The sequence below is a fragment of the Homo sapiens genome, chromosome 15 (genome assembly GCF_000001405.40).
Source record: "Homo sapiens chromosome 15, GRCh38.p14 Primary Assembly".
NCBI lineage: Eukaryota > Metazoa > Chordata > Mammalia > Primates > Hominidae > Homo > Homo sapiens.
In genome coordinates, this window is record NC_000015.10 from 31776044 (window position 1) to 31799371 (window position 23328).

Sequence of the window (23328 nt, forward strand, 5' to 3'; positions counted from 1 at the left end):
GTGCCACTGCCACGCAGCCACCTGCACCTGTCCACACACTGCAGAGGCGCCCCGTCATTGTGCAGGGAGAGGGGAGGTGCATTCTGGGCCTATGCTTCGGGCTGCCCCTGACAGCTGCCCCAGGCCAGGTCCCCTTACCGCCTGGTACCGCTCCCAGTAGGGCCTGGCAAATGGCCTGGCTGTGTCTTAAGCTTATTCCACATAATACTTCCAGTGTGGGACTTCCAGATAGCGACACATGTACTTCCTAACCACTCGGGCTTTGCGGGAATGCTCCAAAGGGCCAAGCCCTTGGTGTGACTTTCTGGTTGGGTCTTCTTGCTCAGTGTATTTCCTGGATGGTGGCTGCCAGAATCTGTGGGGAGAGTGGGAGCAAGGCACAGGGGCAGCCTGCAGCCTGTGGTGTGACTGGAGATCTGACAGCACATGGCCCCTCCCGACTCTCTCCTTCCTTGGTAAGAAGTGGCAGCTGCCCTGTCCTAATAAGGTTCACCTTTCCTTGCATTCAGCCTCAGGTATGTGGGGACAGGGGCATCCCAATTCAGTGGAGACCTGCCTTCCTCTACTAAAGCTACAACCCAATTAAAGGCAAAGACCCCAAGACTTAGGAATACTGAGGAAAACAATGCATGCCTGTGTGTCAACAGCTTTGCAGTGTACTGTGACTGCCAGGGTCTGAAGGAACCGGGGGTCCTTACTCCTCAGGGGTGTGAGCTGAACTGTTCATGTTAGTTTGTCCCTGAAAGTGGGCATTTGCTAGTAAGTGAAATTGGGCTTTAAACGCATACTAGGGAGGCTTGCTATCTAATAGGTTCCTAACATTAATCCCCAGCATGGCACATGTATACATATGTAACTAACCTGCACATTGTGCACCTGTACCCTAAAACTTAAAGTATAATAATAATAAAAAAATGCTAAAAAGTAATCTAACTCTAAAAAAAAAAAATGGAGCATTTTGTTACAAGGCCACCTGCCCCCTAGCTCAGTGCATTTGGACAGCTGTAATGTGATACCATAAACTGGGTCGCTCATAAACAGGCATTCATTTCTCATGGTTCTGGAGGCTGGGGAGTCCCAGATCAGGTGCTGGCAGAGTAAGTCTGAACAGGGCCCTGCTCCTGGTTCATACACGGTGACTTCTCCCTGCATCCTCACATGACAGCCTTTTGGCAAGGGGTCTCTCTCAGGCCTCTCTTACAAGGGCGCTAATCTCATTCCACATGACCTTATCACCTCCCTAAGGGCTCACTTCCCAATCCCATCACCTTGGGGGTTAGGTTGAGAGGGACATAAATATTCAGTCTATAGTACCCCAATGACTTGTACTTCCTGGTTCAAGGTTATCCAAATGGTCAACGCTGAACCATAATTAAATGCAATCCTTACCCAGTGGGCATTAGGACCTTCATGTGGACCCTGGATGAACTGTGGGGTTGCCAGGATCTTGGGTCAGCGCTGGCACTCAGGATGGACAGAAAATGGAGGGGTCCTCCTTCTTCACCCTATGAAGGCAGCTGGGCTGCGGGCACCAGCACAGAGCAGGCAGTGTGTGTGGAGTGCAGTGTAGAGGCTGGGGTGCTACTGCAGGCCCCCCATCCCCCACCCTCAGCCCAGGCCCCCAGGCAGCCAGGCAGGGGCTTCCATGTTGGATGCACATGGAAGAGATCTCATGGCAGCCCCTGGAGTAGGTGGGTGCGTGGGTTCTGCCTAAAGGGGGCTGAGTGAGGGAGTTCTGGGGGCAGCCCACAAACTCTGAAAGCTGTGTGCAAAGAGGCTGAAGGCAGAGCCTGGCAAGGGGGCAGCTGCAGAATTGAGAGCAAAGAACACAAGCGGCTGCATTTGCAAGCACCCAAGGCAGTGGCAGAGGGCAGTGAGGGAGAGGATGAGCACAGCGGGTGACACAGGTGGAAATGATGGGCTGATGGGAGGAAATGGAGCGGCTCTTAGACACGGTTCTGGTGGCCGGCCATGGGTAGGACAGCAGGATCTAGGGGTATCATCAGTCTCCAGAAGAGGCCTGGGCTGGGGGATTGATCTGCCCAGTCATCAGCACCATGGGAATGGCCGAATGTGCAGAGAGTAATTCTAAGGACAAGAGCCCAAGAATACGCATAGAGAGAGGGGTACAAGTACCATACCCAAGGAACTCAATAGCCCATACCTTGTCTACAAGGCTGTTCTGCAGGAATTCCGGGGGTCAGCAGGGATGGCTCTGACTGGTCACTTTGTAGCAATAATCTTCACAGGTAAAACCATGGAGAGAGACAACAGGTGAGGAGAAATATACCATGGGGTGCAGCTGGGGGATTCCATCTGGATCCCTCAAAGTGATGGGAAGGACCAGGAATAGCAAACTCACTCACTGCAAATTGTATATCCAAAGGAAAGAGAGATGGAAAAAAATTTCCATTTACCTAACGAAATAGCACATGCTCTAGTTGACCAATGCCCTGAACTACATACAATGCACACAGTGGCACGGAGTGGGGCTCTGTCCCTCGTGAGGCAGCCCTAGTGTTTAGGATGCCCACTCCAATGCTGCAGGTGCTGGTCTGCAGGCTACAGAGTGTTTGAGTGTGTGGATTCGTGGAGTGCCTGCCTGGGCAGAAAAGCCTCTCCTTAGCCAAGGGACATTAGGAAAAAGTGAAATTAATTCGTTGAAAAAGTAAACAAGATGTGTGTGTCTCTCTCTCTCACACACACACACACAGACACGCACATACACACACACACACCGAGTGGGGGATTCATTTATTTCTCTGCTCTTCCTTTCCCCGCTCCCAGCCCCATCATCAAGTATAATGTCTTCACTATTCCGTTTAATGATTTAAACATGATTAGTGGAATGCAGATCAATGCAGACATGAATTCTTGGGGTAAAAATGCAGTATTTCAGCACTGTGGAAGAAAAACTAAACAGAAATGGAAGCTTGGGGAAACAGCTACATCTTGAATGAATAAATTCTACTTGATGAATGTGAAACATTATTTTAGGAATTTTTAATATATCTAAATACTCCATTTCCACAGCAGAGCTTGGGTCACATTTTAGAAGATTGTCTTCCCTCTGTAACACTCTTCCAGAATTCCCCTCCAGAGTTAAGACTGTCCATTCCTCACCCAGGTGCCCTATTTAACCAAAAGGCCAAGGGCACCTCCTGGAGTCCCTGGGTTCCATTTCCTTTATGGCACTATCACCCAAAACAAAAACTGGGCTCAGAACTCTGAAAAACAGCTCTCCTCAGGAATCGTCACGCTGGCACTAATGCAATCTGAAAAGTACGCTTCACTGATATAAACTTTCACTGGAAGGCATCCAGGCAACATGTGCTTTTTATCCACATTTTTAGAGGCTACAGGAGACACCTCTGTTTCTCACACTGCCAACCTGTTACATTAGAACTATCTTGGTGTAATGGAGCAAATTATTTCATATAAACAGCATTTGCTTTACAATAAAAAACAATGCACCATTCCTGTGTACAAGGTAATTGACGGTAAAGAAGCAGGTAGAAGAAGAAATCTCCTTTCCGTGGCCTTTGTGTGTTGAAAAAAGTCTGGATCTCAGAGCCTGGGAAAGGATCTCAATGTACTGTTTTCCTTGTACAACACAGCTTCTGGCTCCTAGTGCAACTTCCTGAACATCGGCCTAGGTTGTCACTGTTAGGATCTGGACACCAGAGTCTTCTTTCCGGGCCACTTTGGAGCCCTAGGGGTGGATGAGAGAGAAATGGAGGAGGTGGGTGCAGAGGGTACCATGCACCAAGGAAGGCCTTGGTCCTCCTGGATCTGTTGTCGGTAAGATGGGGGTTTGGAACTCATTCTCTCCAAGGTTCTTGCCGACCTCAACCTGTGATTTGCAATCACACACTCTGACTGCTTCTGGTAAGGGCTTTTGGAGTCTTCTCAGTGCACCCCAGAAGCCTTCACAACCCAGTCCAGGACAAAGTGCTGGGATCTGCTCCCTCCAAGGAGGGAGCATGTCATCCTCAAACCAAGAAGAGAGTGCCTGGGGTGATTAACCAACAAGGATGGCAGAAGCAGACAGGCCAGCCGCGACAGCTGTCAGGAAATGACTCTTTCTGTAGTATCTGCCCCTCTGGTTTACAGAATCACTTAAAAATAAAGCAGCCATGCATCAATTTCACTCACATCAAGAGATTTCCCACTGTTTTCTTCACTTCCAGTAACACACACAATAAACATTTAACGTTCAAACTAGCTCGTATTTTATTTACATGTATATATGCATTTTTAAAATGGGGCTTCTTCTACAAAGTTAAGAAATGGCTGTCTTTTGGAAATTAAGAGGAGAAAATCAACTTTACTATAGATTAAATTTCTGATTTAAAATAAAAAAAGTATAAAAAACCTAAATCAAGCCTCCCTGGCAGGTAGGCAGGCCCTCTACTCAATACTTAGAAGCGCTGGCAGGAGCCGGCGGGAGCTGTGGGAAGGTGGCTACCTGACTCCAGATCTGTGGGCTCCGCAGCCCCAGCACTCAGTGGTTCTTGAAGACACCACCACCTGGGAAAGACACTAACGAGGGATTTCTCACAGAAAACCACCGAAGTACAGCATATGGGGAGAAAAGATGAGCTAAAGTGAGTTATTGAAAGAGATCTTCTTTAATAAGATCAAGAAGCAAGAAAGAGCTTCTCAAATTGCCTTCTGTATTGGAGAAAGGGCAAAGGGAGCCTCTGAGTATTCCATCAACTTTGCTTGCCAAGTACATCTCTATAGAAAAGAGGGCTGTCATTGGATCTGATGGCTGGAGACGCTAGCCACTGCCATTCAATGTCTTGCATGTTCATGTTCTAAAAAGTCAACAGCTTCTGTCAACTTTCCACAGGGGAAGGAATACAGTGACTGTAGGTACAAATATTCTTGATGTACTGAGCAGTTATATTTTGTATGGCAAATTTAGAAAGTGGGTTTATACATCGGCCTCTTGTTTAGTCAGTTAAATAATGGCCCTTGTGGCAAGCTGTGTTTTCTAAAGATGGTCCCAGCAATGTGTCTCTTCCACAATGTGACCTTTTCAGCCCTTCCAGTGAGAGGAGGGGTTCTGTGACCTATGCCCTTGCTTCTCAGTGGGCTCAGGACTGCTAGGATCAATAGAATACAGCAGACAGGATGCAGTGTGACTGCTAAGGATGGGTGATGCAGCCTCGTTCACTAGAACATGTACACTTGGAGTCCTGAAGCTCCATTTAAGAATGACCCCAAGGTCAGCATGCTGTGAGGAGGCCAAGCCACGTGTAGAGGCCACATGTGAGCACTCCAGTTAGCAGTCCCCATCTTTGAGTCATCCAGACCCAGCTCCAGAATAAGCCTCTGCATGAGCCCAGCCCCAGTCTTCAAGGCTTCTCAGCTGGGGTCCCAGACATCATGGACCACACAGGAGCCATCCCACTGCACCCTGTCTGAATCCAAGGTTGTATTAACCATTAAGTTTTGCAATCTCATTCATGCAAACATATTTTGAAACCTGACTGCACCAATGTATACATCTTCAAAGGTAATGCACACCCCAGGCTCAGATAGCACCTCTCCTTAAATTCCGTCAGTCACACTTCTTCTGACTGTTCACCTGGCATCCAGTGCCCCCTATGGCTGGACATGACATAGTGATTGCAGCCTCAGGGATGCCATCTCTGCTCGAGCCACACAAAGCCACTAATCTCACCCATCATTGACTGATTTCACCATCATCCTATTCAGGGACACTTTCACTGCTTCCAATGAAAATGGCTGACTTTATCTACTATCAGATAAATACCCTCACATATACATCTGTATCCTATCTTCAGCCATTTCCATCAGAAAGATTCTTAAACGTGGAATCGTGGGAGACTGAGTATTAGATTTCAGGATCTTGGTGATACTGCCAAGTGGTTTTCCTGAAATCAATTGCTAGTGAGAATTGAACACAGTTATAAAGCTTGTTGCTCACTTTTATTTTTCTTTTATGAACTGTTTATCCCAGTACTTCAGTCACGTAAGGGAATGGGTTTTTCTAACAGACTGGTAGGTGCTCTGTAGGGGTGTCCTCAGACGTGACGCACAGTGACACAACCCCTCTATGCTGCTGTGAACAGGCAGGCACTGCTGGCATGGGCTCACACTGCAGGGGAACCTGGCAGGGTAGCTGATAATGCAAAGGGCCTGTGGTACTGAGGGAGGTGCCAAGAGTAATGTGAGACAGCCATCAACAGAGGGTGTGCAGGAGCAGCTGGGAGGAGCAAATCCCGGTCTCTAAACTGGACCCAAAGGAATATCACAGAAGAGCATAACCAGTCCTGGAAAGCCCAGAGGTGGCAAAAGACTAGGTATGTTCCCTGAATACGGCAAAGGTCAGTGTGCTTGGATCTGAGACACAAACTGAGGTCAGAAAGCCAAGGACAAGCCAAACTAGGCAGGAGCCTGTAGCCACAGGCAGATGCTAGGATTCACAGGAACCACAGTGGGAGGCCCTGAGGGGTAGTGAGCAGGGACAGCCACACCCAGGGGCACGGGAGATGATGTGGGTGACCCTGCAGGCCTGGTGAAGGGTGGCGGCAGCAGTACTGGCCAGAGGCGCTGGGACCCAGGAGAGGAAGCAGCAGATCAGTAATGATGATGGAAAGAAAGTAATTTGGTGAATAACTTCTCGTGACTTCATGACTGATTGGCTTGGGGGTACAGAGAGAGAGTAAGGTGTCAAACATGACTTCAAATTTTCTGATTATCTCAGTATTAAAGATGCCACTTCTAAAAAGAGGAGGCCTGGAGCAAGAGCTTGGCTGACAGCAGGATCAGAGGTCCCTGTGGAAACCATGGAGACATCAACTGGGCAACTAGTAAACTGAACTGGAGTTCAGCAGAAAGTTCTGAGCTGGAGGTGTAGCTTGGGGAACCTGCACAAAACTGGTATTTAAAGCCGTGGAACTTGAGACCACCCAACAAGAGCTGAGTTAAAAGAACACAACTCAGGGCTGGGCCTTTGTGAAGTCCTGCATTTAAAGGTCAGATAGAAAAGGAAATACCATAAACCAGCAAGGAGAAGGGAAGGGAACAGCCACTGAGCCGGGAAGAAACCAAAAAGCAGTGGCATTCTGGAGATCAAGGGAAAAGAATGCTTAAAGAAGACTGGCAACAAAGGAAAGAATTTCTCAGCTGTTAGAAACCAGAAGAAATGGAAAATCAGAGCTTAACACCAATACTTGCTGCTGAAGGAGTGTGGAGGGGACAATCTCTCCCCCGTCTAGGGGCTTACCTTTTAATGTCATGCAGGAATCCCAAAGCAGAGGTTCCAAAAGGTCAAGACTATTTTCATGATCATTCAATGATCATTCTAAGGAGAGATTTGCTTTTCGCTGTGTTGACATTCATGGTATCGAAGCAATGGAAGAAGCCGCACAAATTAAGGCAATAGCAACCACTGTGCCAGTAGTCTTCATATTCTTCACCATCAAACACTCAAACTTACAAAAGCCAAAGAACAAAACCCAAACAGAAACCGAAAACAGTTTAAGAATATCTTTGATGAAGCAGTGAAAAGTATTAATTGTATTAACTAGCAACCCTTGTGTGTAAGTGTTCCTGATATTCTAAGTATCTCTGCTGTATGCCAAAGAGCGATGGAGGTCCTGAGGCAGAGCACCTGTATGACTGCCTGAGTTGCACCCTGAACTAGCTGTATTTCCATGGAACATCATTTTCCTCACCTTCTATTCATCAAAGCATACTTGCAGGGTTTGAAAGAATAACTGAAAACGATCATTTTTCAGACACTGGTGTCTGGCAAGCATCCTCTTGAAAATGAATGTAGTGAGCCTGTCACTTTAAAGAGAATCCCAATAGTATTTTATTATCGATGATAAAATCTGAGCTTCCCCATGAAACTTCTTGTATCTACTACTGTGAATCTGACTGCTCCCAATACTCAGAGACTTTTCTGATGAGACTAGTGGTGATATTAATGAATGTGATTTTCTGAGAGTGTGTAATGAAATGTGACAATGCTTAGAAGAGCCACCTAACTCAATGGACCACTATTTTCCAAGCGATCAGTGTATCATGTTACAGATCATATGTAGATAAGTGCAAGACAGGGCAAAGAACTGTAATATAATGGAGTATGAAAAGTTTACCAATGTGGCTTCAGATTCCATGTGGCAACTAATTTTAAGAAACTACTTGTTGTTGAATTCAGATGTAGTGTCAAAGATATCCACAATTACCTGAAAAGTCAACTGAAATACTCCTCCCCTTTCCAACTACATAGCAGTATGAGGTTAGACTTGCTTCTCACACTACAACTAAAACAACACACCCCAATACATGGATTGTGGAGCAGATATGAAAATCCAGCTGTCTTCTATTAAGCCAGTCGAAATTTACTAAAACATAAAACAATGCCATCCTTTTCGTGATATTTTTTGTTTTTGAAAAATTTTTCATAAAAGCTTATCTATGTTTACATGTAACAGGTTTATAATTGTAATTTTAAAATTGATAGGTATTTTATAAATTCTCAGTATTAATTTCCCATGCAGTAAATATTAACAGACATACCCCACAAAGAAAAGCTCTTTAGGCACCACGATAATTTTTAAGAATGTAAGGGAACCTGACATCAAAAATTTTGAGAACCAGCATCCTAAAGCATTTGCTTCAGGAAGAAGGAAGTTAAACCCAAAGAGAAGGAGGGCATTCCAAAAGCAGCGGGCTTTGTATTGTCTGAGTGCTTGAAATGTTTCACAATTAAAATTTATTACTTTTTCAAAAAGAATGAATAGAAGGTGAGGAATGGCACAGTGAAGGTAGATGATTCTCCTGAGTGTTTTATTGAGAAAGAGTAGGGGAAGGTGTGGAGGCAGAATGGGGAGGCTGGAGTTAAAGTAGGGTCAGTTCAGAAGGGAGCGGCACTGCCCACCTGTGCTTATCTCTTAAACGCGGGCATACAGATAACACGAACACATGATCTATACCCTGCAAGTATGGCACTGATGCATGTAAATCCTGCAAGTACATACTGATGCATCTAGACCCTGCAAGTACACACTGATGCATCTAAACCCTAAGTACACTTTGATGGATCTAAATCCTGCAAGTACACTTTGATGGATCTAGACCATGCAAGTACACTTTGATGGAACCAGACCATGCAAGTACACTTTCATGCATCTAAACCCTGTAACTACACACTGACGCATGTAAACCCTGTAAGTATGCATTGATACATTTTCTCAGCTGGTCCTTTCAGAATTTTGGGTAAGCTTTCGGTACATTTGAATTTTTAAAAATAAATTCTAATCTGTAGATATTTTTATTTGAAACATGTCTCATATTTTTCTGTTTAGAAACTGCTTCTCTCACTCCAAGATTATACTAGCTTTTCTTTCTTTTTTAAATGAAAGAGGAACAGCAAAAAGGTGTGTCCCATTTCCAGACCTGGCCTCTGGAGCTCCCCACACCTTCCACAACCTTCTCTCATTACTGTAGTACAAGGGCAACACCTATTATCCTGACCAACTTGGAAGCTACTGGTGAAGATGGCAGTGCCCCCCAAAACTTGATGCCTTCCATGATTCTGACTCTGGCCCCCAAGCAACCACTCCAGACTGTAACATTCCTGCTGTACCCCAACCAGTGCAGCAGGCATGTGACTTGGGTCTGTTTGCAAAGCAGTGAGAGCCTGCCCTATTTAAGCCATAGATTAGCTGTGTGGCTTTGGACAAGTGAGATAAACATACTTTGCCTCAGTTTCCTCATCCACAAAGTGAGGAGAGCAGCACCTTCCTTGGCCAGAGAATTAAATAGTACATGTAAACACACAAAGCAGGTATGGTGCTATGGTTTGAATGTCCTCTCCAAAACTCATGTTGAAACCTAATTCTCAATGTGGCAGTATTAAAAAGTGGGGTCTTTAAGAGGCAGAGCCCTCAGGAATGGATTAATCCATTCAAATCCATTCATGGATTAATGGGTTATCATGGGAGGGGAAATCATAGCTTTATAAGAAGAGGAAGAGAGACCTGAGCCAGCACGCTCAGCCCTCTCGCCATATGATGCCGTGCGCCACCTGGGGACTCTGCAGAGTCCCCACCAGCAAGAAGGGCCTCACCAGATGCAGCTCTTCAACCTTGGACTTCTCAGCCTCCATAACTGTAAAAAATAAATTCCTTTCTTTATAAACTACCTACTTTCATGTATCCTAGGCAACAGAAAACAAACTAATACAGCTGGGCATATGATAAGCACTAAATATTAGCTACTATTATTATTTATAATAAATGTTATTATCCAGTAGAACAAATTCTCTATCCTCCGACAAGTCTTATTGCCAAATTTGCCTATGCACTTAAGGCAAAGAGGCCAGGAATGTGGACAGAGTGTCTCATTACTGGAACCTCCTTTTGTGTGTGTGGCACGTCTGTGTGTGAGACAGGGTGTGTGCCTGGACAGGGTGTGGATGTGGAAGCTGTGGGTGAGGCTTGGTGACAGGTGAGGGGTGTGTGGCTTTGTGGGCGTGTGGTGCTGTGGGATGTGTCACTGGGTTCTGTGGCCCTCATGCCCTGCTGCCCCTCCACCCTTTCACTTCATTGTTACGTGAGATGCCTGCAGAGAGGTGTCCCTAAGAAGGAAGCCAGGTAGTGAGTCCTAGAATGGAGGCTTCCAGCAAGCAGGTATAGTTGCCTTGATCTGGGAAAGGGAGGTGTAAGCAGGTCTCCCCCTCAGGAGCTCTGAGAAGGCAGCTATGTGGCTCAGAGTCGAAGCATCCCAGAGTTCTGACCCAGGACCCCGCAGTGATATCACAGACAGACTGTAACCGCCCCCCTTCATTCCATCTCATTATGAAATGTGTGTGAGGCCTGTCGTTCTACAAAACAAAGACCCTAAGGAGGAGGGGAAAATGTTGCTTTACATATAAAAGTCAATGTTTAGCTCTAGGTATGTTTTGGGCTTTCTTAGTGGAGACACTGAAAGGGGACTAGTCAGCTTTTTCTCATCAAACAACATGGCATACATGGCCAGAGATGTGGCCACAGACGAGGCTGTTTGAACCTGCTCCAGAAATGTTGTACCAGGATGTGATGATGGAGAACTGGCAATTTGATCTCAATGCTAGACACTGTTTTTCTGAACCAGATGTGATGGCCTTATTGGAGCAAGGAAAAGGGCACTTGATGGTTATAAGAAGCATGAAGACTGTACAGTTATTGGTTGCCTCACCAAGTAGGGCTAATTGGTTACCTTGGAATTTAATTCTTAAATGAAACAGCAAGAAAGCATTTGGTTTTCTAATACGAATTATAAATTTTCCAAATTTGGAACCAAGATAGGAGCTAATCAGCTACGAAAAATGTTCACTTATAAAAATATACATCTCCTACTCTCCATCAAAGAGTTAAAGATGGAGGGAAATTCAGTGACCTCAAGGAATGCTAAGCCTAGGTGGCAGCCTTAAAATACATCAGAGAGTTCATAGTGGAGAGGTACCCTATGAACATGACTAGTGTGGGAAGGCCTTCAGTGCACATCAACAACTTTCTCAACATCAAAGTACTTAGGCTACTGAGAAAGACTTTGAATGTGATAAGTGTGGAAAGTTCTTTTGACTTAAGCCTCAAAGTACATGATAGAATTCATAATGGTGAGAAACCCTTTGAATAAAAACAATACAGGAGGCATTGGAAATGGCAGGCAATATCATATGTATCATAGAATTCATAGCAGTGCAAACTCCTTTCAATGAATAGAACACAGGAAGTTCTTTAGGCAACAGTTCAGTCTTTTAGAGAAATCAGGGAGGGAGCTCACACTGGCATAAGACCCTAGGAATATATCTAACATAGGAAATCCTCCAGTAATGGTCCAAGCTTTGTTTAACATCAAAGAATTTGTAACATGCTTTATTTAACATGGAAAGCTTACTGCTATACAATTATCTTGTAGTTGGCCACTTTACTGTACACTCTCATAATTCTAAGTCATTCCACAGTGCCAGACCCCACATGGCACTCAATAATTAATTTTTGAGTAACTGGATTAACAGATGGGTTCTCTTGCATTTCTAGGTAAATTATATTGATTCTAGGAATAAGTTTTGTTTTTGTCTTTCCAATATTTACATCTTTTTTCCCTTCTGTTTATGAATGCCTTAAATCAGCCTTGTAGACACTAAGAAATATGCGTAAGACTTTGCACTAATGTGCCTGATATGGTGTCATCATGCCAAAGGACTCTTTGGGCTACAAACCACAGGAACCCACAAGTTAGCATAAGCAAACAAGGGAAGGCCAGACACTCCAAGGATCAGAATAGATCTGGGCTTCATGACTGGGCGGGAACCATGGCCATGTTTGCCATGTCTTCAGATGGATGGTCCTTTCCTCCTTCTCATCTCTTTTCTTGTTTTCACTCCAAAATGGCTATTGATGGGCAAAGAGAACAACCTAGTTTCGATGATACAGGTTAACCTACTCAAGGATACAGGACTCTTCTGAGAAGCTATTTTCACATTCCCATGAAAGAATGCCCTAACCGTCAAGTAGCCCATCTTGGCCAATCATCCATAGTTGCAGGTGGGGATTGTGTTGGCCCCAGAGTGGGTAGGGTACCCATCACTGGGTGGCAGCTGCAGGAGGTGGAAGGGCCAGGCCCCTTTTTATAAACATTGCAGCAATGTGAATGGAGGAGAGAAAAGGTACCCTTAGAACAGAGACATTGAGAAAGGTACCCCAAAGCTATCCACAGCATACAGTAGATACTTCAGAGCTCTTTGTAGTTTAGAAAGAGCTTACTCATATAATCTTAACTGCTCCATCCTTCATGGTAAGGCTTTATTTTTAATGTTCATTTTGCATATGAACAGGCTGAGGCTCAAGGAGGTGCAGTGACTTTTCCAAGGCCATAGGATTCCTAAATGCCAGGACCCAAACCCTAGATTCCATTCTATCTTCAGTCTCTCTGGATTGTTGTCCTACAGCCATTACCATAATCTTACACCCAGTTAGATCTCTGGCATCACTAAAGTCTTGAAGAAGTTGGAAATAAATTTCATTTTTTTAATACTCTGAGGGGAGATATACCATTGTAAGTGCTATGTAATAGACACAGAATGTCTTCTAGCAGCCACTCTAAGCAACACTGACTGAGCATCTCCTCCAAGCCCACACCTTCCTCATGCAGGGTAGAAACCAGGAGAAACTGCTGGGCCTGTCACATCCAGCCTCTGTTCAATCAGATGGGAATATTTCTGGTTCCTCTCCCACTGTGGTGTTCCCCAAGAAATGCAATCATCTGAAAGTAATCCAAGATGTCTGAAAGTAATCCCCCAAATTTTAACACTGTAAATGTTTCTAATACTAAAGGTTAATTTTAGAAATAAAAATTGAAGCCAGATGATTTTCATATGAATGTTCTGACATGAAAAGGGCAACACATTTCACTCCTCCACAATTATGTTTCCCAAAATTGAAATGCTTCCTGTCCAGTTCAGTGCTGTTGAGGCTCAACATCGTGCCACTCATACAGTCTGGGCATCTTCACTCATGGCTTAATTCTGATCTCAGCAGGGTGGCACATTCAATAGAAACATATCTGTCTCTGCAAGAAAAATTGCAGTTACTGGGAGGGGCAGAGGTAGAACTGTGGAAATCCAATGCTGCCCTTTTTTTTTTTTTTTTTTTGAGACCGAGTTTCACTCTCGTCCAGGCTAGAGTGCAATGTCGCGATCTCTGCTCACTGCAACCTCCACCTCCCAGGTTCAAGCGATTCTCCTGCTGAGGTTGGGAGTTCAAGACCAGCCTGACCAACATGGAGAAACCCTATCTCTACTAAAAATACAAAAGTAGCCAATGCTGCATTTTAACCCACCAGCCTGGCCCTACCTGCCCATCACTGCCACTGTTATGCAGTTAGAGGTACAGGGTGCCAGAGCGGGGAGACTGGCTGACTAATGCCTAGCAAGCCTCAGGATCCTCAACAACTGGGAGAGGGAAGAGGATACAATTTAAACTCCACAAGGCCAAGTCCATCTCCAGATTCTACCATGTGGAGCCACCACCGCCCTATAAAGTCACATTGACGGGAGTACATCACACTTCCTAGATGTGTCAGGAACAACAGCAACCAGAGCCCTCTGACATCATGGCTCCTACATGGCGTCAGGATCCCTGCAGGGCCTGTAAAAACTAGGCGGCAGGGCCACCCCCAGAGACTCTGATTCAGTGGGGCTGGGGAGGCCCCAAGAGCCAACAACATGCACTTCTAACAAGTTCTCAGCTGATGCTGATGCTGCAGGCCTAGGGGCCACACTTTGAGAACGTCTGCCCTGATGTAGCTAAAAACCTTCATGTTATGAGAACAGTGAGGCCCTAAAAGGAGAGGCCATGTCTGGAACCCAGGTGTTTTGATTCAAAAACTAGAATTGCTTTATCAAGAGACAGGATAAATAAAAAAGAAGAGGAAGGAAGGATAAAAAGAGAAAGAGATTAAATAGATGCCCTTAACAGAGAAAACAAAACAGCTCCCTGAAGACTGCAGTGTGTGGGCAGGGCACAAGTCCAACCTGGGGTGGAATTTCTGGGTGTGAACCTGGCCTGTGACCTGGTTCTGCACCCATTAATGAGCTGCCTCCCACCAGCCAATATCATGGAAACAACTCAGAAAATGCAGCCATCTCTTGTGCCCTGAAGACCTCCTCTGGGGCCTCTGGCCCTCAATCCATGAATGACAGCCCTGGGAGCTATAGATGCTGCCTCATGATGGGCCCCAGAGCATGCAGGAGAGGCTGCCCCCTTTATGGAACTGCCTGAGAGACAGAGTCACAGGCTGAGGTCCCCTTTTCAGGTTAGGATGAGAACTTGACAATGGAGACACCTATGGAAGTGACATTTTTCCACAGTATTCATGGTAGAAATAGTGGACTGGGAGGTGCAAGTCTTGAGTTTTAGTCCTGACCTACAACTAATGGTCATCTTTTTTTGTTTGTTTTGTTTTGTTCTTTTGAGACGGAGTCTTGTTCTGTCGCCAGGCTGGAGTGCAGTGGCTCGATCTCGGCTCACTGCAACCTCCGCATCCTGGGTTCAAGCGATTCTCCTGCCTCAGCCTCCCGAGTAGCTGGGACTACAGGTACATGCCACCATTCCCAGCTAATTTTTGTATTTTTAGTAGAGACGGGGTTTCACCATGTTGGCCAGGATGGTCTTGATCTCTTGACCTCATGATCTGCCCGCCTCAGCCTCCCAAAGTGCTGGGATTACAGGCATAAGCTAACGCGCCCAGCCCTACTAATAGTCATCTTAAGGGAGTTGCTTGGTTCCTAGGAAATTTTTTTGTTAAATATAAGAAGTGGGTTGATGACTCCTCTGGGATTCTTCAAATTTTGTATTCCATCATCCCACCTTCTATTTTGGTTCTCTTGCTGTGTCCCTCTTTTGAGTAGGAGGGTCAATGAAATGCCCACATCTCTGCTTCTAGTTGTAGAATAGGGAAAGCTCAACTAAAGGGACGCATGCGACACAGACACATGATGGATGAGTAAGGTACAACACGTCCCGGACCAACCCCAGCATCTAAGAGGCTTTCTATTCAGCTTTGTGCTGGCTGGCCTTTGTGCTGATGTGGGTTTCTAGGATCATTCATGAAGTGTATTTTATATTAATTAGCCTTCAAGAGAATTCCATCCAGCTGGCCCCCTCCCTCCTTCTGAAACATGGCCTTCCTTTGGCTGTCTTGACACCCCACCCTCTCCTGGTCCTCCTCCTTCATCACTGGCTGCTCCTCAGACCCTGTTGACAAATGTCATGGAATGCAGGGCTCAGCCTGGATTGCATCTCATCTCCATTTATGCCCTCCCCAAATGCACTCCCATGAAGGCTCTAAATAGCACCTGGATGATGTAGAGAAGATACTCAGTCCTAACCGAGCTCCCCACTTCACATGCCTACTCACTGCAAACCAAGTACTGCCCAACCAGGACTCTTGACTTCCTACCACCACTCCCTCTCCCACTTCCTTCTTCTCAGCACCCACCAAGTTTCTTAAGCCAAAAATCAAAGCCCTCCGCATTTCTCGTCCGCTCCTCAGCAACTATGTGCAATCAGCAGGCAGATCCAGAACACATCTCAAATCCCTCCACCTCTTGTCATCTCTCTGCCACTTTATTTACTTCATAAAACCTCTTGTCTGGCTGCCTGAATGTGTCTCCTGACTGACACCCCTGACTACATTCGATTCTCCACACAGCAGGAAGGGTCATTTTTTAACACAGAAACCGGATGCCATCACCTCCAGTTTAAAACCTCCCAATGACTTCCCATCACATTTGGGCCAAAACCCATACTCCATGGCCAGGCTCACAGGACCTCCACCTGCTCCAGTCCTGCCGCCCTCTCCATAGCATCCCTTGCCCTCCCCTCTCCCCATATTCCCTGACTTGGGCCAGCTTGTTCATCCTGCACTGAGACACACTCAGTCCTAAGCTGGAGCTTCTTTTGTCCTGTATTCCCTCTGTCTGGCCCCCACCTTTATTCAGGTTGCACCTTGACTTTCTTCTCCTCTGGGACCCTTGCTGACTCCTCAGTCTGAGGCAGTCCTCAGTCTCTCTCTCTCACAGCAGACTGTTTCATTCTCTGCACAATAGTGACCACCACCAGATAAAATTCTTCTTTATGTGTATGTGTGTTCTGCCATCCCCCACTGGCTTCTGAGCACAGTCCTCCATTGTGTGTTCACCTCTATGCCTCAGGGAACAGTGACTGGCCCCAGTGGGACACAAGGGCTGGGTTGAGGGGCTGTCCTCAGGGAGCTCTTCTGTGCAGACCCCAGGGTGGGAGGGATACAGACTAGTGGCAGGCTGCCCCCCTGCCTGGCATGCCTGGGGATTCTAAGCAGTCCTGCCACACTGCCATGCAGATGCTCATCCTCCTCACCGCCGGCCACGGGAGACACCACGTGCCTCACACCACACACCAATTGACAGATGGCGTGTGGGCACAGGAAATGAGCCCCAAACTGATTCGACCCATGACACCACTGCACACACAGCACTCAGGAGACTGTGCGGCTGTGCTTCTGCCTCCAGCTTCCCAACCCCCCATGCACCTTCCCCGGAAGCAGCAGGAATGTCCTTTCTGATAATGCGGCAGAACTTGCTCTTCCTGCCCCTGCCTGCATCAGCATCAGGAGTCTCTGGCCTCTTCAGTTCCTACCCTCTGGGCTGATTCTGGCCTGGTAGTAACTGATGCCCTCCTGGGTTATCTGACCCCAGGTGAAGGAGAACCCCACACTGTGTCCAAGAGCATCACACAAGGCTTTTTCCTGCAGCCTCCATGGCTTCCCACTGGGCCAGAGGTGCACTTCCTGCCCCAACCTGGTCTCCCTGTGTCCTCTCTCCTCACTGAGTCCCCCATCCCTCCTCTATGGTCCATTGTTATCTTCTTCTTAGAAGGCATTCCTTCTACTTATTTTGTATGTCTCCTCCTACAAACCAAAAATACATGTTTCCTTCTCATTCTCCGTCATCCTTAAATTACAATACTGGAAGGGGTACGAAGGTGCCATTTTCTTAAGTCCTCCTGGGTTTGCAGCTAGAGCCACCAGTGGAAGGCTTAATGGAAGGAGATGTCCCATCGTACTGTCATTCATAAAAGACCATTTGATTGCCTTCCATTGCACACTTCTCTGATTAAAAATGACTTGGAGCATGTTTCTTTTGCTTTTTAGCCCTGTGGCTTTCCTGTTCTGTAAAATGCCTGATTATACACTTTGGCCATTTTTCCATGTAGGCTCTTCTTGGTTGCTGTTGATTTGAAGAGTTCCTTGTACATCATGCCTTGGTATTCCAGAGATGGTCTCCCAAGCTGTCATCTGTCTATTGATGCTACCAAGGAAGCCTATGTTGATCAGAAATTCTTAATTTTGATGTGATCAAATTAATTATTTTTGCCTTATAATTTGTGCTTTGAAGTTTAATTTTAAAAACCCTTCTACATCTAAGCCTTCTTTGATTAACATTATAGTTTTATCTTTCACATTTAAACCTCTATTTTTAACCTTCATGTAGTGTTTGGTATGGCTCTAGGTTCATTTTTCTCTATATGGAAAATTTTCCCTAATAGAAGCTTACCCTGTGGATATGTGGTTCTACCTTAACATGTATTAAACCTCAGTCACACAAATATCTGTCTCTAAGCTCCCTATTCTGTGCTATTGGCCCATTTGTCTGTATTTACATCAGGACCACCATTTTCAATCACTATAGATTTGCAGTATGCAGTATGCCTTAATATCTGTCAAAGTTTTCCTCTTTACATTGATGGTTATTTCTCAAAAGAGATTATTTAATGTTCCTATCACATGAAGCAGAAAGCAATGTGACAATCTCAATGATACATTCAAATATTCAAATATAAATTTGTCACTTCCTATTTTTGTTAAGTACCAAGCATCAAAGGTATAATATGGGGGAGGGAGGGTGGGAGAAAGCCACAAATTAGTAAATGTCTAATTGATTCATTCATTCAACTAATATTAATGAAGCACCTACAAGTGCTGGCTGGCCTTGTTCTAAAGGCCGGGAATAGAATAGTGAAAAAAAAAAAAAAAATCCTAACTTTATGGGACTTACATTTGAGTGACAGAAATCAGAGAATCGCTTCATCCACCTCGCCCCCCAGCCCACCGTCTGGGGGATGCTCCTTCCCTACTGGGCCCACCTGGGCTCCTCCAGTGAGCAATTCATAAGAAGAGAGCCAATCTTAAGTTGCAAATAAATACAGTTATTGTTTCTCCTGGGGTTTACAATCAACCCAGATATATGAATTAATTTACTCAAGATTTAATTTTAAAATAAAAGTCAATGTATTTAGCTTAAGTAAAATAACAGGTCATTTCCTTTGTTGTCCAGAGTTTAGTCATTGGTCTGATTTTGAATAGAGATCTATAAAAATGAAAATAAGATTACTGCGGCTATAAATCTTTTAAATAATAAAATCTAGTTATTCTCATTATGCTTTTAATATTACAAATGAGACTATCCTTTGAAGAAAGTAACTTGGGCCTTAAAGAAATCCAGACAATTCAGATCTGCCTGCTCATTCGAATCCTAGGATAAAAGGTTACTGGGTTACAGACTCAGTTCCTTTGGGGCCCACAGGTGAAATGCACAGACTTTTATGCAGGAAATTTCTCTGCAGCTGGCCTCTCTCCCAGTCAGTGGGAATCACGGTATGATTGAGGCTTTCATCTACTAGGCCCTTGTCTTCGGGAAGGTTGAACAGAGTCGCTAGCACCATCAGTGGCTGCACTTTCATTCTGCAGCCCCTAAAAACCTGGTTCAGACCTCTTCATGGGTCTCAGCCATTGTGAATATTGGAGTGCTGACCTGGAGGAGTGGGTTTCTGAAACTCCAAAGAGGTCTGAGTTGAGAGAGAATTGGAGTTGGGGGATGAGAAAATCGGAGAGGTGTAGCTAGCAGTATGATTGGCTGATCTCTTCTATCTTTCTGGGAGGTGAGAACAGTGGGTTGGAGTGCCAGGGCAGATGCCATGGAGTAAGCACACCTCCCCATGGAGAGTGGGGCATGGGAATATGAGGCACAGTACAGTTACACACCCAGCCACTCTCCCCGGCCTGCACGTTCCTGAAATGCAAATTTTGCTCTCTCTTTAAAGAACACTGGTGCTAGGAGCACAGCACCTGAGACAGGCAGGCTGCCACTCCACAGCTGGGTGACTGGAAGCATGCTTGGGCCTTTGTGGGCCTCAGTTTCCTCTTTGTAAAGTGAGGAACAGGCCCATATGTATCCCTGTAGGGCAAAGAAAGACAGCACAGGAATGTAGTCACACACACCACATGCCCTACCGGAAGCATGGTGTTCAAGCTTCTCTGAGCCTGGCCCCTAGGTAAACACTCTAACTGCTTCATCTCCTGAAATGTTCATGCGGACCCTGCATCATCCTCGTTTCATAGAAGGCTCAGTTAAGGCTTGGAGAGATGCACTAGAAGCAGAGAGTCACAGCAGGGATCACCACCATATGCAGTGAACTTGAGTCTCTGTAACATTAGGGGTTCTCCAGAGAAGCAGAACCAGTAAGGGGTGCGTGTGTGTGTGTGTGTGTGTGTGTATCTATGTATGTATCTATGCATTATCTATCTATCTATCTATCTATCTATCTATCTATCTATCTATCTATCATCTATCTGTCTTCTATCTTTCTAGAGAGATTTAAGGAATTGGCTCACATGATTGCGGGGATTAGCACATCCAAAATCTGCAGGGCAGATGGGCAGGTTGGAACCCCAGGGAAGAAATGATACTGCAGCTGGAGTCTGAAGGCTGTCTGAAGACTGATTTCCTTCTTCTTTGGGGAAGCTCAGTCTTTTTTCATTGGGCATTCAAATAATTGCATGAGGCTCACCCACATTAAGAAGGGCAATCAGTTTTATTCAGTCTTCTGATTCAAATATTAATCTCATCTAAAAATTACCTTCACAGCAACATTCAGATGTATTTGACCACATTTCTGGATATTACGGTCTAGCCAGATTGAAACAAAATTTAATCACCGTGATTGTTACACAATTAATGTAAAAGAGCATAAGGAAAAAAGTAGCCACCAAGTCAATGGTGACCCAATGCTCTTCTATTGCTTCCAGTTTTTATTTCATACTTATATTTAGACAGAGCTTTCAAACATTCCTCTTTTCTTTGAGACAGAGTCTTGCTCTGTTGCCCAGTCTGGAGTACAGTGGTGCAATCTCAGCTCACTGCAACCTCTGCCTCCCAGTTTTAAGTGATTTTCCTGCCTCAGCCTCCTGAGTAGCTGGGATTACAGGCATGCACCACCATACCCGGCTGATTTTTATATTTTAGTAGAGACATGGTTTCACCATGTTGGCCAGGCTGGTTTCGAACTCCTGACCCCAGGTGATTCACCCGCCTTGGCCTCCCAAAGTGCTGGGATTACAGGCGTGAGCCACGGCACCTGGCCTCAAACATTACTCTTGCACTTGCACAAGCATGGGGGTGCGGGGGGAAGCAAAATAAATCAGTTAAGATGTTCCAGGAGCTCCTCATTCAGAGCTGCCCTAGTGGATGATGGCACCTCGCTGGTGTCATGCCCCTTGAACTCAGGAGCATGGGAGCCCGCGCTGCCTCTGAGACGTGATTCTAAACTGCCAACCCTCCCCAAAAAGCTGGGCGGGTGGAGGTGTTTTCTCGCTTAGGATGGCTGAGTGATCTTTTTTTATGTATCTTGGTCACAAAACAGAACACAAACCCCTCTACTCATAGGGACCTTCCTTCTTTAGGTTCCATAAAGCAGCAAATTTTTATTGGCAGTGAAGGGAATGTAGACTGGCGGTCACCTCTCAACGACGAGTACCTATTCCATTAATACCGAGTCTAAGCACAGCTGCTCTGTTTCTGGCTTTGCTCTCAGCACCCTCTCCCTGTAGCCTGTCTTTTCCCCCAGAGGACAAGCTCCAGGAGGCCAGGGCCTTGCCCTGTCCTTCTTCACTGAGGGCCCAGGCCCCACCATGCAGGCTGCCTGAAGGAACAGCCCCCATTCCTCAGGTGACACCTGCAAATCGCATGCTTTGTACTCCAAAGGGAGTCGCCCGCCTTCACTCCCAAACTCTATCCTAAGCCTGGACGCATGCTTACAGAATTTTAAGTGCCCTTCCAAAAAGCAAAGACGTGTTCCTATTGCCACTGCCCCAACGAGTGGTCCCTGTGTGTGCTGCTTCTCCGGTGCTGGGAGGAAGTATCACAGCACATCAGTTATGGAACGTTGTATTAGTGTCCCAGTGCTGCCACAAAAAATGCCCAAAAACAGCTGGGCTTAAACAGCAGGCATTCACTTTGCACCGTTCTGCAGGTGTGAAGTTTAAGATCAGGGTGTCAGCAGGGTTGATTTCTCCTGAGGCCTCTCTTCTTGGTTGGGAGACACCCGCCTTTTCACTGCGTCTTCACATGGGCATTGCTCTGTGTGTGGACATCCCCAGTGACTGATATCTTCTTATAAAGACATCAGTCATATAGGATTAGAGCTCACCCACAGGGCCTCATTTAAACATGATTACCTCTTTAAAGACCATATCTCCAAATAAAGTCACATGCTAAGGTATTGGGTAACGTTAGGACATCAACACAGGCATTTTGTGGGGGGGTGGGGGTCCCAATTTAGTCCATAACAAATGTGATCTTCCCCAAAATTCTGAGAGAGGGTGGCCCCATTTGAAGCCAAAGTTACTGAGATAAATGCTGTGCCCGTGAGCTGCCTGCTGTCCTGCATACAGTTCAATCTTTCACTCAAGTGTTTGTGGTGTGCTCCCGATGCCCCCTCATGCTTGCTGTCCAGGTGTCCAGGTGTGGCCATGGACAAGTCAGAGCAGATGCCCATGCTCATGGACAGAGGCATAAAGGCAAAAGCACATAAAATGAACAAGGCAGCTCTGGCACTGACGAGTATTCTGAAGATGACCAGGCAGCATCAAGGAGGGAAGTGGAGTGCATGGGCCTGACAGTGAATTTCCCCTGCATGCTGCACCAACCTGCCAGGGAAGAACCAAAACCTCACTGAGGATAACCAGGAGTCAACTTGCTCCAACACCTTAAGTGCCAAAAGTAAACAATGAGGCTCACTGGACCCCAGCAGGACAGCTGACCCTTATAACAGAGCAAACAGCAGGGCATCAGCTACGTTGTTCTGGTTCCCAGCCCCCACGGCCCCAGAGGCCAGAAGGAAGCCAGGGGGAGGCTCAGCTTGGGGGGGGGCTCCTGTCATGGCTGAGGAGCTCTGTGCCTAGGGAACCCATTGCTTTGCTAGTGGGCAGAAAGCAGATCTCTCCTCTTTTTGCAGGGAGCTGCAATCTCACCTCTCAAGATCACCACTTTCAAAAAGAACTCTGAGACACAGCCTACTGGAAGAGGGGTCACAGGCCTTCAAGGAGGGGCCAGGGTGGAGAGGGCCCCACAACCAAGAGGCAGCCACACAATTATCTGGAGACAGAGATTTCTGAGCAGAGCAAATAGCAAGTGTACATGTTCTAAGCCAGGAGTGAGTCTGGGGTGGATCCTTGAACAGAGAGAAGGCTGGAGTGGCTGGGGTGAATCCAGCAAAGACACGGGAGAGGAGGGCACCTGGACATGAACAGTGGGCTGTGCGGGCCTGCAGGCCATGGAGATGGCTGCGTCTCCTTAATCCAGACGGTAGCCCCAGAATAACACAGTTTCATTCTCAGTTTGCAGATGAGAAAACACTTTCAGAGAGGGAAGCAAGTCTCTCCATTACACAGTTCCTAAGTGGTGGATCTGGGGCTATGTTG

The 23328-nt window shown here is 46.1% G+C and overlaps 1 protein-coding gene across 3 annotated transcripts in view, besides 1 other annotated feature; it reads right to left on the reverse strand.

The window, feature by feature from the left end:
• OTUD7A (OTU deubiquitinase 7A) overlaps window positions 1-23328 on the reverse strand; it is a 395276-nt gene that overhangs the window by 300646 nt on the left and 71302 nt on the right. The gene's annotated exons all lie outside the window — the stretch shown is intronic.
• Window positions 22761-23260: an enhancer, noted in NCBI's record as "H3K4me1 hESC enhancer chr15:32091007-32091506 (GRCh37/hg19 assembly coordinates)". NCBI's record gives its function as "activates a minimal SCP1, AML or CMV promoter by ChIP-STARR-seq in naive H9 embryonic stem cells {active_cell/tissue: H9 hESC(naive)}" and the evidence as "EXISTENCE:reporter gene assay evidence [ECO:0000049][PMID:30033119]".